Raw genomic sequence first — 16,139 nt, forward strand, 5'->3', positions numbered from 1 at the left:
TTCAGCAAAAACCATCTCTTTATTCCTTGTTGTGTGACATGTTCACCATTTCGCCCTGGAGCCAGGACGACCCACAAGGGGCCAGACTGGAGTCCACGTTTCTTGTCTCAGGCTGCACCCTGGGGAGGGAGTCCCAGGAGTTTTCTGACCCAGCACTGCCCCCCTCCACCCACCACCAACCCCAGCTTCAGGAATCTTCTGACCCAGAGCCCCACCCCCACCCCCAGCCTGCTTTTGCCACCAAAAACTGCCCCAGGGCCTGAACCTTGAGGCCTCGAGGGCTCTTTGGGGCCAGGGGTCATCAGGTCCTCCTGTCCCATTTCTGCCTAGGCTGTGTCGTCCAGCTCACAGCCTATATGCCCAGGGTTTTCTTCATGGCTTCGTACACCACATAGCTGATGCCACCTGCTGGTAAGACCTTCAGTAGCGTGGGGGTCATGCCTCGGTACAGCCCTAGCCAGCCCTGCTGGGCCAGGATCCGCTGGAGGACTCCGCGCATGGTGGGATTTGAGCCCTCCACGGTATCTGCAGGGACACAGGCAAGATCAGGACTAGGCCAGAGATGACCGGGCCTCCTAGGAGTCTGGAATGTTGCGGACAGGTGCTGAAGCCACGGGTAGGGGCCCCAGGGGTCAGTAGGAAAACAGTTTGAAGAGTCTTAGAGGAAATTGGTCAGTTTGAGGAGGAGTGGGGGAGTTTCTGAGTAGTAGTTATCAGGATTAATTTTAGGAAATTTTCTTGAGGGGTGGGAGTGGGGATAGGGTCTCTCTCTGTTGCGCAGGCTGGAGTGTGGAGGCACGATCATAGCTCACTGCAGCCTCGACCTCCAGAACTCAAGGGATCCTCCAGCCTCAGCCTCCCAAGTAGCTGGGACCACAGGTCCATACTACCATGCCTGGCTAATTTTTATATATATATTTTTGAGACGCAGTCTCAAAAGTTATCAAAAGTGGGCTGGGATCAGACACGGAGGGTGCCGGACTCAGTTTTGGGGTATGAGAAAATTGAGACAGCCAGGGTGGGGCGGGGAAGGGGCATGCGTGGTGGCCGCTGGGGACAGGCTGACCTTGGGCCTGCATCCTGGTGCGCACCAGAGTCAGTGGGTAGCTGGCCATCTGGCCACAGGTCGTGGATAGCGTCACAGACGACAGACTGACCAGGCCACTGGGGTCCCCCATATCCCTGCCTGACTTCACCCAGAAGCACTGGAGCATCTGCAAGAGAAGGGGGCCAGGAGAAAGCTCACTAGGAGCCTGGGCTCCGGCCAGCCCTGCCACCCCCTCTGCAGGACCCATACCTCATAGACAGCCAGGTCGGTGCAGGCATAGGGGATGATGCCGAGCATATTGGGCAGGTAGCCGCGGTAAAGGGCGCGGGTGCCCTCTCGCTGCAAGATCTGCCTGGCGCAGTCCAGCAGCCCCTTGTACTGGCCCGTCCGACGCAAGGTCAACCGCGTCTTCAGCACCTGAGGATGGCGGGGAACAAGGCAGCTCATTTGATTGAATCCTGTCAATGACCCTCGGGGTAGCCATTGTCCCCACCCTACAAACAAGGAAAATGAGGCTCAGGAAGGCAAAGAGCTGGGTTTCAGACCCGGATCTGTCAGATTCCATGGAATGCTCTCTGAATTTTGAGTTCTGAAGCACAAATGCTGGCAAAGGCCAAGAGAGTGAGGGAAGAAGGCTCACGTCTGTCTTCCCAGCCCTTTGGGAGGCTGAGGCGGGAGGATCGCTTGAGGCCGGGAGTTCGAGACCAGCCTGGGCAACATAGCGAGACCCCATCTTTACAAAAAAATCAATAAAATAAAAATAAGATGTATATGGAAACATCAACATGGGAGAACAGCCTGGAAAACTGATTAAGAATAACAGGGAAGGGAGGCGAGAAAACATGCCCTCAAGCCTCAAAAATTGAAGACAGCTGGCAAAACTTTATGGCAAAAAGATCAAGCACTGGGGGGAAAGAAAGAGAGTGAATAGGTAGAAAACAGGGCCTTCCTAGGGCAGTGAAACTACTCCGTAAGATACTACAATGGTGGATACAAGTCATTATACATTCCTCAAAACCCATAGAACTGTTAGATTAAGAGTGAACCCTAGGTCGGGTGCGGTAGCTCATGCCTGTAATCCCAGCACTTTGGGAGGCCAAGGTGGGTGGAACACTTGAGGTCAGGAGTTTGAGACCATCCTGGGCAACATGGCGAAACCCTGTCTCTACTAAAAATACAAAAATTAGCTGGGTGTGGTGGCAGGCAGCTGTAATCCCAGCAGGAGAATCGCTTGAACCCAGAAGGTGGAGGTCGCAGTGAGCAGTGAGTCAAGATCGTGCCACTGCACTCCAGCCTGGGTGACAGAGTGAGACTCTCAAAAAAAAAAAAAAGAAAAAGAAAGAAAAAAAGGAGGGTTTCCGGTCCACAGATGAGAAATGAAAATATATATGTATACATATATATAGTATATATACATATTATATATGTATTATTATACATTATGCATATATTATATATAACATGCATAGACATATTTTTATATTACATAGTATATAATAAATGTAATTATATAATTAGATACATTAAATTATTTAGTTATATATAATATATACATGTTATATGTACTATATATTTACATAATAAGTAAGGTATATAATATATGTGTATATTATATATAAAACATATATATATATATATTTTTTTTGAGACAGGGTCTCCCTCTATCACCCAGGCTGGAGTGCAGTTGTGTCCCATCATAGCTCACTGCAGCTTCGACCTTCTGGGCTCAAGTGCTCCTCCCACCTCAGCCTCCTGAGTAGCTGGGACTACAGGCATGCGCCACCACACCTGGCTGATTTTTGTTTTCAGTAAAGATGGGGTCTTGCTATATTGCCCAGGCTGGTCTCAAACTCCTGGGCTCAAGCAAGCAGTCCTCCCAGCTCAGTCTCCCAAAGTGTTGGGATTACAGGCATGAGCCAAGGTGTCTGGCCTGAAAATTTATATATATATATATAATATATATATTATATATATGTTATATATATATATAATATATATATTATATATATGTTACATATATATATAATATATATATTATATATATGTTATATATATATATAATATATATATTATATATATAATATATATATAATATATATATGTTATATATATAATATATATGTTGTATATAATATATACATATATAAATTTATGAAAATGTTATATATATGTATATGTGTTATATATAATATATTCATATATAAATTTATAGAAAGGAGGAGGAGATTGGAGAGGAGGAGAAAGAGGTAAAGGGGGAAGAGGGAGAGGAGGGAGAAAGGAGGAGGGAGAAAGGAAAGGAAGAGGGGAGGAGAAGGGAGAAAGGAAGAGGGGAGGAGAAGGGAGAAAGGAGGAGGGAAGGAGGAGGAAGAAAGGAGGGGAGGAGGAGAGGAAAGAGGAGGGGAGGAGGAGGGAGAAAGGAGGAGGAGGAGAGGAGGAAGGAGAAAGGAGGAGGAAAGAGGAGGAGGGAGAAAGGAGGAGGGGAGACAGAGGAGGAAGAGGTGAACGGGGAGGAGGGAGAAGTGTGAGAAAAAAGGAGGAGAAAGGAGGAGGGGAGAAAGGAGGAAGAGGAAGTAGCCCCAGCAACGTGGGTAACTAGTTTCCACGGCGTTTCCTCACCTGCGGGGCACATGCTCTCTTACCTCCATGGGGTTGATGAGGGTCTGGGAGATGGCCACAGCCAGGGAGCCAGCAAGGAGACGCTCCTGGAAGGGCGGGGACCCTTGTATTCCACAGAAGTAATTCTTGCACTGGGAGAGGAGAGAGGAGGGTGAGAGAGAAGTCAGCCACCCTCCGACACAAAACCCGCGCAGGGAAGAGGCCTGGGGTCTGGAGGGTGAGTGTGTGCTTGAACAAGGGCCTGGAGTTTTGGGGGCATGGGAGGGGTTTGGGCTTGAGCTGGGGGAAGCAGGCCCCTCATTCCCCACCTGCTCGAATACGGAGAACTTGATGGCATACTCAGGAGCAATCTTGAGCACGTTGATGCCGTTGCCCCGCCACAGGGAGCGGAAGCCGCCCTCCTGGACCATGCTCTGTAGCCCCCCCAGCAGGTTGGTGAAGTTCGTCTTGGAGGAGTAGACCTGGGTGGAGGGAGGACCCTGGAGGAGCCCCTGCTCGCCTCTGTCTCCGTCCCCATCCCTGCCCCAAGCGCAGCCCCACCGGGACCTCCCAAGCCACCCAACCCCAACCCATCCCCATCCCATCCCCATTCCTTCTTCAGCTCCTTCCCCGGCCAGTTCTAGAATCGCATGCAACCCTGACCCAAAGCCAACATCAACCTACATTCCCACCTCACCCCTCCTCTTCATCTCCTCAGTCTTTTTCTCTCTCTCTTTCTTCCTTCCATCCTTTCCTTTCTTTCTCCCTTTTTGTTCCCTCCCTCCCTCCCTTCCTCCGTTCCTCCCTTCCTTCTTTTTTTTTTTTTTTGACGGAGTCTCACTCTGTCGCCCAGGCTGGAGTGCGGTCGGGGGATCTCGGCTCACTGCAACCTCCGCCTCCCAGGTTCAGGCGATTCTCCTGCCTCAGCCTCCCGAGTAGCTGGGATTACAGGCTAGTGTCACCACGCCTGGCTTATTTTTGTATTTTTAGTAGAGCTGGGGGTTTGCCATGTTGGCCAGGCTGGTCTGGAACTCCTGACCTCAGGTGATCTGCCCACCTTGGCCCCCCAAATTGCTGGGATTACAGGCATCAGCCACCGCGCCTGGCCTTCTTTTCCTTTTCTTTCTTGTTTTTTTGTTTGTTTATGTTTTCGAGACAGGATCTTGTTCTGTTGCCCAGGCCGGAATGCAGTGGTGCAATCACAGCTCACTGCAGCCCCAAACTCCTGGGCTCAAGTGATCCTCCCACCTCAGCCTTCCAAGTAGCTGGGACTACAGGTGCGTGCTACCATGGCAGGCTAATTTTGTAAAATTTTTTGTATAGATGGGGTCTTACTATGTTGCCCAGGCTGGTCTCAAACTCTTGGGCTCAAGCGATCTTCCCACTTTGGCCTCCCAAAGTGCTGGGATTACAGGTGTGAGTCACCATGCCCGACTCCTTTTTAAATTTTTAATTAATTAATTAATTAATTATTATTTTGTAGAGATGTGGTCTGACTATATTGCCCAGCTGGTCTCAAACTCCTAAGCTCAAGTAATCCTCCCTCCTTGGCCTCCCAAAGTGAGCCACTGCACCCGTTTATTTTTTCAGCCAGGGATCTCGCTCTGTCACCCAGGCTGGAGTTTGTGGCATGATCATGGCTCACTGCAGCCTCCAACTCCTGGGCTCAAGCAATCCTCCTGCCTCAGCCTCCTGAGCAGCTGAGACTATGGGTGTGAGATATCCTGCTTGAGGTAGCTCCAGTTCTATGTTGCCTTTTTTTTTTTTCTTTCTTTTTTGAGACAGAGTCTCACTCTGTTGCCCAGGCTGGAGTGCAGTGATGCAATCTCGGCTCACTGCAACCTCCATCTCCTGGGTTCAAGCAATTCTCCTGCCTCAGCCTCCTATGTAGCTGGGACTACAGGCACGCACCACCATGCCCGACTAATTTTTTTGTATTTTTAGTAGAGACAGGGTTTCGCCATGTTGGCCAGGCTGGTCTCAAACTCCTGACCCCAGATGATCTACCTCCCCTGGGCCTCCCAAAGTGCTGGCATTAGAGGCATGAGCCACTGCACCTGGCCCCTACCTTGTCTTTAAACTCGTCCAAAGACCCCATCCCCAATTCCCTGACCTCCAACCCCCACCTTGGCCCAGCGTTGGTCCCTGTCCCTGGCAAGTTCTCTCAACTCCTCAAACTCGACTCCAAGCCATGTCCACACCAGCTCTATCACCATCCACAACCTCAATCTCAGCTAGTCCAGGAGAGCCCAACTCCAGCCAGCACTCCTATCCTGAACTCCATCCACGTCAACTCCATCTGTCCTCACCCCACGTTCTCCCCAGTGGCTCCAGCGCTGGGTCCCGTCCTCCCCCCAACCCACACAAACCTGCATGTACACCTTGGCTCTGTCCAGAGGTGCCGTGCCCGTGCGAGACACCGCCCCGGCCATAGCTCCTGAGAGTAGAAACTTCCACAAGGCCTCCTTGTTATCCACTTCCAGGACTTCCACGGGGACCATCAGCTGCTCTCCTGTGTCCAGTACCTGCAGGGCAGACCCGGCCCTCCCTCATCCTCAGCCAGGTTGGGGCACCTTCCCCAGACACACATCTAGGGCACCCACCTGGTGAAAGACCCACCCTGTTCCCCCAAGTCTGCATTTTTTTTTTTCGAGACGGAGTCTTGCTCTGCTGCCCAGGTTAGAGTGCAGTGGCACAATCTCAGCTCGTTGCAACCTCCACCTCCCAGGTTCAAGCAGTTCCTGCCGCAGCCTCCTGAGTAGCTGGGATTATAGGCATGCACCACAACACCTAATTTTTTTTTTTTTTTTTTTTTTTTTTTTTAGTAGAGATGGGTTTCACTATGTTGGCCAGGCTGGTCTCTAACTCCTGACCTCAAGTGATTCAACCCTCCCCCCTGGTTTTTTTTTGTTTTGTTTTTGTTTTTTTTTAGACAGAGTCTCACTCTATCGCCCAAGCTGGAGTACAGTGGTGCGATCTTGGCTCACTGCAACCGCTGTCCCCCTGGTTCAAGCGATTCTCGTGTCTCAGCTTCCCAAGTAGGGACAATGGTGTGATCTCGGCTCACTGCAACCTCCGCCTCCTGGGTTCAAGTGATTCTCTTGCCTCAGCCTCCCCAGTAGCTGGGATTACAGTGCCAACGTGCCGAGCAAATTTTTGTATTATTTTAATAGAGGCAGGGTTTCACCATGTTGGCCAGGCTGGTCTTGAACTCCTGACCTCAGGTGATCCACCTGCCTCAGCCTCCCAAAGTGCTGGGATTACAGGTGTGAGCCACCACACCCAGCCAATGTAATATAGACTCTCTAAGTTACTCATGGAGGATCCAAGGAGGAATACAAATGTAATTAGGACTATATCTAGACTCTTAATTTATTCTTATTTTTTGAGACAGAATCTCGCTGTGTTGCTCTGGCTTGAGTGCAGTGATGAGATCTGGGCTCACTGCAACCTCTACCTCCTGAGTTCAAGCGATTCTCCTGCCTCAGCCTCCTGAGTAGCTGGTACTACAGGCGCCAACCACCATGCCTGGCTAAGTTTTGTAATTTTAGTAGAGATAGGGTTTCGGCATGTTGGCCAGGTTGGTCTTGAACTCCTGTCCTCAAGTGACCCATCCACCTCAACCTCCCAAAGTGCTGGGATTACATGTGTGGAGCCATCGCGCCCTGCCTCCCTGCCCCACCCTGCTTCAAGGTGGAATTCTAGGTCCGCTAGCAGGGGAGTGGGCCTGTAGAGGGCGTGGGTAGCCTGGCCTCTCCCTGTAGTCCTGACCAGAGGTGCCGGGACACTGGTGTTTCCTAAACTCACCTGCTGTGACGGGAGATGTTCAAGGTTGTTGTCATGCATGTGGCCAAACGCGTACCCATACACGTGTGTACAGCCAGGGTTCCAGGATGGGGGTGGAGGCGGAGGTTGGGGGGGAGGCGGGGCTTTGATGAGTAAGGTCTTGACCCTCCTAAACAGTGTCTGGATCCTAGAGCAAGTGTTCTGAGGTTCCCCAGGCTGAGCGCCCATGGAGGAAGTTAGGACACCTGGCTTCAAATCCCTAAGCAGTTGTTTGCTGCTCCAGCTACCATGCGGGAGTGTCTAGTGGGAGGATTGTGTGGGGGACCAAGAGGAGGATGAAGTCACAAACGCCCCTGTGACCTTCCTAGGTGTGGTGGGCAGCGTGATGGCCCCCTTCCCCCAAGTATCCACCTCCTGATCCCCCAAACCAATAAATATGTTATCGTTATAAATTGAATTGTGTCCTGTCAAAATTATTATTATTATCGTTTTTTTTGAGACGGAGTCTCGCTCAGTCTCCCAGGCTGGAGTGCAGTGGCGCTATCTTGGCTCACTGCAAGCTCCGCCTCTGGGGTTCACACCATTCTCCTGCCTCAGCCTCCCGAGTAGCTGGGACTACAGGCATCCGCCACCACGCCCAGCTAATTTTTTTATTTTTTAGTAGAGACGGGGTTTCACCGTGTTAGCCAGGATGGTCTCGATCTCCTGACCTCATGATCTGCCCACCTCAGCCTCCCAAAGTGCTGGGATTACAGGCGTGAGCCACTGCTTCCGGCCGCAAAATTCTTATGTTGAAGCCCTATTTCCCAGTGGGTTGGAATTTGGAGACAGGGCCTTTGGGAGGTCCTCAGGGTTAGATGAACTCATGAGGATGGCCCCTGCAAGATGGAATTAGTTCCCTATAAGGAAAAGACAAACCAGAGCTCTTTCTCTCTCTCTGTCTGCCATGGGAGGACGCAGCAAGAAGGCATGGCAGGAAGAAATCCCTCAGCAGGAACTGAGCTAGCCAGCCACCTTAACCTTGGATTTCCCAGCCTCCAGAAATAAATGTCTGCAGTTTAAGACCCCGCTCTTTAGTGTTTCCTTATAGCAGCCTGGGCTGACTTACATTTGTTACATGGCAAAGGGGAATTAAGTTTGCAGATACAAATAAGGTTGCTAGGCCTGATGTGGTGGCTGACGCCTGTAATCCCAGCACTTTGGGAGGCCGAGGTTGGCAGATCATCTGAGGTCAGGAGTTCGAGACCAGCCTGACTAACATAGTGAAACCCAGTCTCTCCTAAAAATACAAAAATTAGCCAGGTTTGGTGGTGTGCCCCTGTAATCTCAGCTACTCTGGAGGCTGAGACAGGAGAATTGCTTGAACCCAGGAGACAGAGGTTGCAGTGGGCCGAGATTGAGCCATTGCACTGCAGCCTGGGCAACAGAGCGAGACTCCATCTCAAACAAACAACAACAACAACAAAACTTTGCTAGGCTGGGCGCCGTGGCTCATTCCTATAATAGCAGCACTTTGGGAGGTCAAGGCAGGTGGATCACTTGAGCCCAGGAGTTCAAGACCACCCTGGGCAACATGGCCAGACCCCTGTCTCTATAAAAAATACAAAAATTAGCTGGGCATGGTGGTCCATGCCTGTGGTCCCAGCTACACAGGAGGCTGAGGTGGGAGGGTTGCTTGAGCTTGGGAGGTGGAGGCTGCAGTGAGCTGAGATCTTGCCACTGAACTCCAGCCTGGGTGACAGAGCGAGACCCTGTCTCAAAAAAAAAAAAAAGAAAAAAAAAAAAAGAATTAAGGTTGCTAAACAGCTGATGGGAAATGGTCTCACTCTGTCACCCAGGCTGGAGTATAGTGGCACACTTAAGGTCAATCCCCTTGACCTCTCTGTTCAGGTGGTTCTCCCACTTCAGCCACCCGAGTGGCTAGGAACACAGGTGCGGACACCACGCCCGGCTAAGTTTTAAAAATTATTTTTGGCTGGGCGTGGTGGCTCACACCTGTAATTCTAGCACTTTGGGAGGCCAAGGCAGGTGGATCACCTGAGGTCAGGAGTTTGAGACCAGCCTGGCCAACATGATAAAACCCCGTGTCTACTAAAAATAACGAAAATTAGCTGGGTGTGGTGGTGCATACCTGTAATCCCAGCTACTCAGGAGGCTGAGGCGGGAGGATCACTTGAGTCCAGGAGTTCAAGACCAGCCTGGGCAGCAAAGCAAGAAATTTTTCTACAAAAATTTTTTAAAATTAGCCAGGTGTGGTCATGTGCACCTGTAGTCCCAGCTACTTGGGAGGCTGAAGGGGGAGGCTCCCTTGAGCACAGGAATTAGAGGCTGCAGTGAGCTATGATTGTGCCACTGCACTCCAGCCTGGGTGACAGAGTAAGACCCAGTCTCTAAAAAACAAAAAAAGTAGTCAGGCATGGTGGTGTGTGCCTGTGGTCCCAGCTACTCCGGAGGCTGAGATGGGAGCATCACCTGAGCCTGGGAGTTTGAAGCTGCAGTGAGCCATGATTGCACCCCTGCATTCCAGCCTGGGGAGGGGACAGAGTGAAACCCTGTTTCAAAAACCAAAACCGAAACCAAACAAACAAACAAACAAAAAACCTGACAAAATCATATACATGTAGGTATATATGTATTAGCCAGCTGTTGCCATGTGACGAATTACCCCCCCGCCAAAGGTTGGCAGCTTAACACAACAAACATTTATCATCTCACCCATATTCTGAGCATTAGGAACTCAGGAGCCGCTGAGCCGGCTGTTCCCGTGATCAGTGTTTGAAGTATAAGAGTCTAAGATTCAGGATTCAGGTACTGGGATCCAGTTGTTTCGGTGGAGGGATCCACAAAGCTTGGACTATCCAGGGAATTCAACTGATAGAATTGCAGTGAGATGTTGGCCAGGACAGCAAGATCCTCTTCCAAGCTCAGTTACATGGCTATTGGCTGAGTTCCTTACCACATGGTCCTCTCCATAAGGCTGCTCATGGCATGACCACCGGCTTCCTCCAGAGCAAATGTTATGAGAAAGGGGGAGAGAGAGAGAGAGAGCATGTAACCAATAACCAGGATGGCAGCGACAGTGTCTTTTTTTTTTTTTCTTTGAGACATAGTTTTGCTCTTGTTGCCCAGGCTGGAGTGCAGTGGCACAATCTCGACTCACTGCAACCTCTGCCACCCAGGTTCAAGCAATTCTCCTGCCTCAGCCTCCTGAGTAGCTGGGATTATAGGTGCCCGCCACCACGTCCGGCTAATTTTTGTACTTCTAGTAGAGACGGGGTTGCCATGTTGGCCAGGCTGGTCTCGAACTCCTGACCTCAGGTGATTCACCCGCCTCGGCCTCCCAAAATGCTAGGATTATAGACGTGAGCCACTGCACCCAATCTTTTATTTTTTTATTTTTTGAGATGGAGTCTTGCTCTGTTACCCAGGCTGGAGTGCAATGGACCAATCTTGGCTCACTGCAACCTCCACCTCCTGGGTTCAAGTGATTGTCCTGCCTCAGCCTTCCGAGTAGCTGGGATCACAGGCATGTGACACCATGCCCGGCTAATTTTTGTATTTTTAGTAGAGACGGGGTTTCACCATGTTGGCCAGGCTGGTCTCAAACTCCTGGGCTCAAGTGACCTTGAACTCCTGAGCTCAAGTCATCCTCCCATCTCAGCCTCCTGAGCAGCTGGAACTACAGGTATATGCCATCATGCCCAGCTAATTGAAAAATTTTTTGTAGAAATGGGGTCTCACTGTGTTGCCCAGGCTGGTCTCAAACTCCTGGCCTCAAGCGATCCTCCCACCCCGACCTCCCAAAGTGCTGGGTTTACAGATATGAGCTACCCCACCCACCCTGAATTTTCTATTTTTTCCACAATAAATTTGAATTACTCATTGTGGGTTGAACTTTGTCCCCCAAAAAGATGTGTTCAAGCCCTAACCCCAGTAACCTGCAAATGTGACCTTATTTGGAAATACGGTCTTTGTAGATATAATCAAATTAAAATGAGGTTACACTGGATTGGGGGGGGTTGCCCTAATCCGATGACTGCTGTCCTTACAAGACATGGAATCGGCCAGGCGCAGTGGCTCACGCCTGTAATCCCAACACTTTGGGAGGCTGAGGCAGGCGGATCACGAGGTCAGGAGTTCAAGACCATCCTGGCTAACATGGTGAAACCCCGTCTCTACTAAAAATACAAAAAATTAGCTGGGCATGGTGGCGGGTGCCTGTAGTCCCAGCTACTTGGGAGGCTGAGGCAGGAGAATGGCATGAACCCAGGAGGCGGAGCTTGCAGTGAGCCAAGATCGCGCCAGTGCACTCCAGCCTAGGCGACAGAGCAAGACTCCATCTCAGAAAAAAAAAAAGGCCGGGCGCGGTGGCTCATGCCTATAATCCCAGCACTTTGGGAGGCATCCTGGCTAACATGGTGAAACCCCATCTCTACTAAAAATACAAAAAAAAAAAAAAATTAGCTGGCTGTGGTGGCGGGTGCCTGTAGTCCCAGCTACTTGGGAGGCTGAGGCAAGAGAATGGCATGAACCCGGGAGGCGGAGCTTGCAGTGAGCCGAGATCGTGCCACTGCACTCCAAAAAAAAAAAAAAAAACAAACTTGGAATTTGCACTTTGGGAGGCCGAGGCGGGTGGATCACTTGAGGTCAGGAGTTCAAGACCAGCATAGTGAAACCCCGTCTCTACTAAAAATGCAAAAATTAGCCAGTTGTGGTGGTGTGCACCTGTAATCCCAGCTATTCTGGAGGCTGAGGCAGGAGGATCACTTGAACCCGGGAAGCGGAGGTTGCAGTGAGCTGAGATCACGTCATTGCACTCCAGCCTGGGAAACAGAGCGAAACTGCATCTGAAAAAAAGGATGGAAATTTGGGCAGAGAGACACAGACACACATAAGGGAGCATACAGTATGAAGATAGGCAGGCAGTGGAGTGATGAGTCTATCATAAACCAAGGAACACCAAGGACCATGTGGCTCACACCTGTAATCCCAGCACGTTGGGAGGCTGAAGGCTGGCGAATTCCTTGACCCCACGAGTTCGAGATGAGCCTGGGCAACATGATGAAATCCTATTTCCACAAAAAAGAAGTAATAATAATTAGGCCAGGCACGGTGGCTCACACCTGTAATCCCAGCACTTTGGGAGGCTGAGGTAGGCAAATCACCTGAGGTCAGGAGTTCGAGACCAGCCTGGCCAACACGGGAATACCTGGTCTCTACTAAAAATACAAAAATTAGCCGGGTGTGGTGGTGCGCACCTGTAATACCAGCTACTCTGGAGGCTGAGGCAGGAGAATCGCTTGAACCTGGAAGGCAGAGGTTGCAGTGATCTGAAATCGAGCCACTGTACTCCAGCCTGGGAAACAAGAGCAAGACTCCTATATCAAAAAAAACAAAAACAAAAAACCAACCAACCAAACAAGAAATTAGCCAGGCATGGTGGCATATGCCTGTGGTTCTAGCTGCTCGGGAGGCTGAGGTGGGAGAATTGCTTGAACCTGGGAGGCAGAGGTGGCAGTGAGCCGAGATCGTGTCACTGCACTACAGCCTGGGCGACAGAGCGAGACTGCATCACAAACAAACAAGCAAGCACAGAAACAAACAAAAAGTTGGGCATGGTGGTGGTTGCCTATAGTCCTAGCTACTTGGGAGGCTGAGGTGGGAGGATCACTTGAGCCCAGGAGGTGTAAGCTGCAGTGAGCCGAGATCGCACCACTGCACTCCAGCCTGGGTGACAGAGCGAGACCCTGTCTCAAAAATAAATTAGCTGGACATAACGGTGCGTGTGCCTGCGGTCCCTGTGGTCCCAGATACTCAGGAGGCTGTGGTGGGAGGATCGCTTGAGCACAGGAATTCGAGGCTGCAGTCAGGTACGATTGTACCACTACCCTCTAACCTGGGCTGCAGAGTGAGATCCTATCTCTCTCTCTCTCTCACACACACACACACACACACACACACACACACACAGACACACAAATTGTTTTAAGCCATTCTGTTTGTGATAATTTGGTCTGGCAGCCCTAGGAAAAGGATAATTTGAAAAAAAATTGAAATTTGTAATTTGAAAAAAAATACAGAGGCCGGGCGTGGTGGCTCACGCCTGTAATCCCAGCATTTTGGGAGGCTGAGGCAGGTGGATCACTTGAGGTCAGGAGTTCGAGACCAGCCTGGCCAACATGGTAAAACCCTGTCTCTCCTAAAAATACAAAAAATTAGCCGGGCGTGGTGGTGGGTGCCTGTAATCCCAGCTACTCAGGAGGCTGAGGTAGGAGAATCGCTTGAACCCGGGAGGCAGAGGTTGCAGTGAGCTGAGACCGTGCCACTGCCCTCCAGCCTGGGCAACAGAGTGAGACTCCATCTCAAAAATAAATAAATAAATAAAAATAATAAAGCCCAGAAAATTTAGAAGGGGTTATAAACAGGGACTCCCTCCCCTGCTCCCATTTTATAGATGTGTAAACTGAGGCTCAAAGAGGGAATCATTTCCTGGCTCTTGGAACTGTGGGTGTTGGGAAGCAGCCCCTTGTCCCTTCCCTAGGGGTAGACTAAGGTGGTCCCATAGCCACCCACCCCCTTTTCAGTAAAAACCACAATAAAAGAGCTTAGAAAATTTATTCCTTTTGTTCTTTTCCTTTGAAATAACACACACAGGCAGGGAGGTGGGGCGCAGTGGAGGTCGAAGGAGGTGGAAGCGTGCGGAAGTCCTCCAGCCCCTCCCCAAATCCCAGTTCCCCTTTCCAAGTCCCTCCATGGGGTCTCCAGATGATCCTAAGCTCAGAATCCAACTATGAAGTGCAGAATGTAAGGGCGCAGGGGAGGAGGACTTTGCTCCTCTCTCTGGTAGAAAAATAGATCTGGAATGAATTTGGGGATTTGGTGGTTTTTTTTTGTTTTTGTTTTTTGCATCATTGGGTGCTTGGGTTTAGGGAAGGGTGGTCTTTGCCGATTTTCTCCTGGCTTTCAACTCTGGAAGCCTGGGGAGGCCCTGATAGTGCTGGGGTGGGGACATCCCTTCATGTGTCCCTGGCCTCAGACTGTCTCCTTGCCAGCCTCCAGGAGTGAGTGATTCCTCGGACCCCTTGGAGGAACACAGCTCTGGGGACTATTCGCCTAGAAGGTGGGAGGGGGATGGAAGATGCTGTGAAGTGTGGGGATGCAGGGAGTGGAGTGGTTCCAGGGAACAGTTTCCCCACAGGGCTGGGAGGGGGTGGCCATGCAGAGGTGGGGTGAGGGGGAATCCAGCATCCGTGCAGGTTGCAGCCAGGACCTGGGCTTCCTTCCCCACAGACTCCCTCGACCATGCAATTTCATGTCATGAGAAGCCGGCTCTGGGCACCAGTGTGTGTGGGATACTCTGTGACTGGGCTGCCAGGATCTAGACTTGGGGCCTGAACATTTGGGACCCGGCGCCTGGAAGATTCAGATCAGAAACCGGGGATTCAGGGCTTGGGATTCAGTGCCTTGGAATATCAGGATCTGCCTTCAAGAGATGAGGTTTCAACATTGAGGGACTGGGCAGAGGGATTGGGGACCCAGAATCTGGAATCCAGCAGCTGCAGTTGCCAGGATCCACTTGCTGTGCCACTGGGGCCCCCGCACTTGTTTTAGGAGCCAGAATCTGGTGGGTGAAGGCTTGGGAATCTGGGATCCAGTGCCTGGGGGTGGAAGGCGTAGTGCTTGAAATGCAGGGATCTGGCAGTCAGCAGAAGGATCTGAGACCCAGTGTCGAGGTTAAAAAAAAACAAAAAACCAAAAACCAATGCAGGAATCCAGTGGGTGGAGTGAGGGGATCTGGGATCCAGTGATGGGGGCCCCAGGATCCAGGCATTGTGGTTGTCAGGATCCAGTGGTGAGGTTTGTTGACATCCAGAATCCAGCAGCTGAGCTTGGAGATCCAGGGCTCGAGGCATGGGGATCTGGGGTTGGGGATCTAGGATCCAGCGTTTCACTAGGACACTGGATCTGGTGCCTGAGGGAGGCAGGGTCTGGGTGTTGAGGTACAGGGAATCCGTGCTCCTGTGGTTGGGGTGTTGGGATCCATTCACTGATTTGTGTGGGATCCAGTGGTTAAGACGTAGAGGTCCAGGATCCAGTAGGGGGCACAGGGAAGCGTGGGATCCACCTTAGGATGTGGGGCTGCAGGATCCAGTGATTTGGGGGATGGGGATTAAGGGCTGGGGTGTGGATAATCTTGAATCTTGTGGTTAGGGTAGCAGACTTGAGTTGCTGAAGTAAGGGATCCACAGTTATGGTTACAGGGGGATCTGGGATCTAGTGGCTGAAGGGTGGGGATCGCATGACCCAGTGGTTGGGGCATAGGAGTCTAGGATCCAGGATCTGGATGCTGGGATCCCATGACCCAATGGTTGGGGCATAGGAGTCTAGGATCCAGGATCTGGGTACTGGGATCTCGTGGCCAAAGAGTAGGGATCCTGTGGTTGGATCATCAGTCTCCAGTGGCTGAGGTGTGGGGGGTGAGGGATTGGGGGGACGGGCTCCGGGTCCCTCACCTGGACGTGACCCCCAAGGCCTGCTTCATGTTCTCGTAGACCACATAGGAGATGCTCACAGCTGGAATAACCTTCATGAAGTTGGGGGCGATCCCCCGGTAGAGGCCCCGCATGCCCTCCTGGGACAGGATGTGACGTAGCAGACCCAGCATGGACAGCTGGGGGCCACCCTCGATGGAGGCTGGGAGGGGGCGGGG

At 51.2% G+C, this 16,139-nt stretch overlaps 2 protein-coding genes across 35 annotated transcripts in view; both read right to left on the reverse strand.

Moving 5' to 3' along the window:
• On the reverse strand, nt 1-10,231 carry SLC25A41 (solute carrier family 25 member 41). Of its 4 annotated transcripts, none has more exons than NR_135612.2 (8): nt 7,451-7,727; nt 6,013-6,168; nt 3,973-4,125; nt 3,688-3,795; nt 1,298-1,465; nt 1,067-1,214; nt 266-525; nt 1-119 (listed from the first exon to the last, which is right to left on the reverse strand). NR_135612.2 is itself a non-coding variant. In NM_001321298.2 (8 exons), the coding sequence occupies exons 4-8, from the start codon at nt 4,072-4,074 to the stop codon at nt 353-355; spliced, it is 699 nt and encodes a 232-aa protein (NP_001308227.1). In that variant the 5' UTR covers nt 4,075-4,125; nt 4,485-4,582; nt 6,013-6,168; nt 7,451-7,727; the 3' UTR covers nt 1-352. The 4 variants fall into 4 exon arrangements, 3 of the variants coding, with proteins under 3 accessions (NP_001308227.1, XP_011526228.1, NP_775908.2); NM_001321298.2 differs by adding an exon at nt 4,485-4,582 and having other exon boundaries at nt 1-525; XM_011527926.1 differs by lacking the exon at nt 7,451-7,727 and adding an exon at nt 10,145-10,231 and having other exon boundaries at nt 1-525.
• Nucleotides 10,045-16,139, reverse strand: part of SLC25A23 (solute carrier family 25 member 23) — a 23,712-nt gene continuing 17,617 nt past the window's right edge. For 6 of the 31 annotated variants that reach the window (XM_017027287.3, XM_017027286.3, XM_011528275.3 and 3 more), the window contains 4 exons: nt 15,943-16,123; nt 12,688-12,785; nt 12,411-12,498; nt 10,045-10,428 (listed from right to left, as the gene is read on the reverse strand). In XM_017027287.3, the coding sequence (XP_016882776.1) occupies nt 10,284-10,428; nt 12,411-12,498; nt 12,688-12,785; nt 15,943-16,123 (512 nt within the window). In that variant the 3' untranslated portion in view covers nt 10,045-10,283. Of the gene's footprint in view, nt 10,433-12,154; nt 12,277-12,410; nt 12,499-12,687; nt 12,786-14,027; nt 16,124-16,139 lie in introns of those variants that run through there. The other 25 variants (XM_047439413.1, XM_017027292.3, XM_047439408.1 and 22 more) reach the window with 10 other exon arrangements.

This window comes from Homo sapiens, chromosome 19 (assembly GCF_000001405.40).
Source record: "Homo sapiens chromosome 19, GRCh38.p14 Primary Assembly".
Classification (NCBI taxonomy): domain Eukaryota; kingdom Metazoa; phylum Chordata; class Mammalia; order Primates; family Hominidae; genus Homo; species Homo sapiens.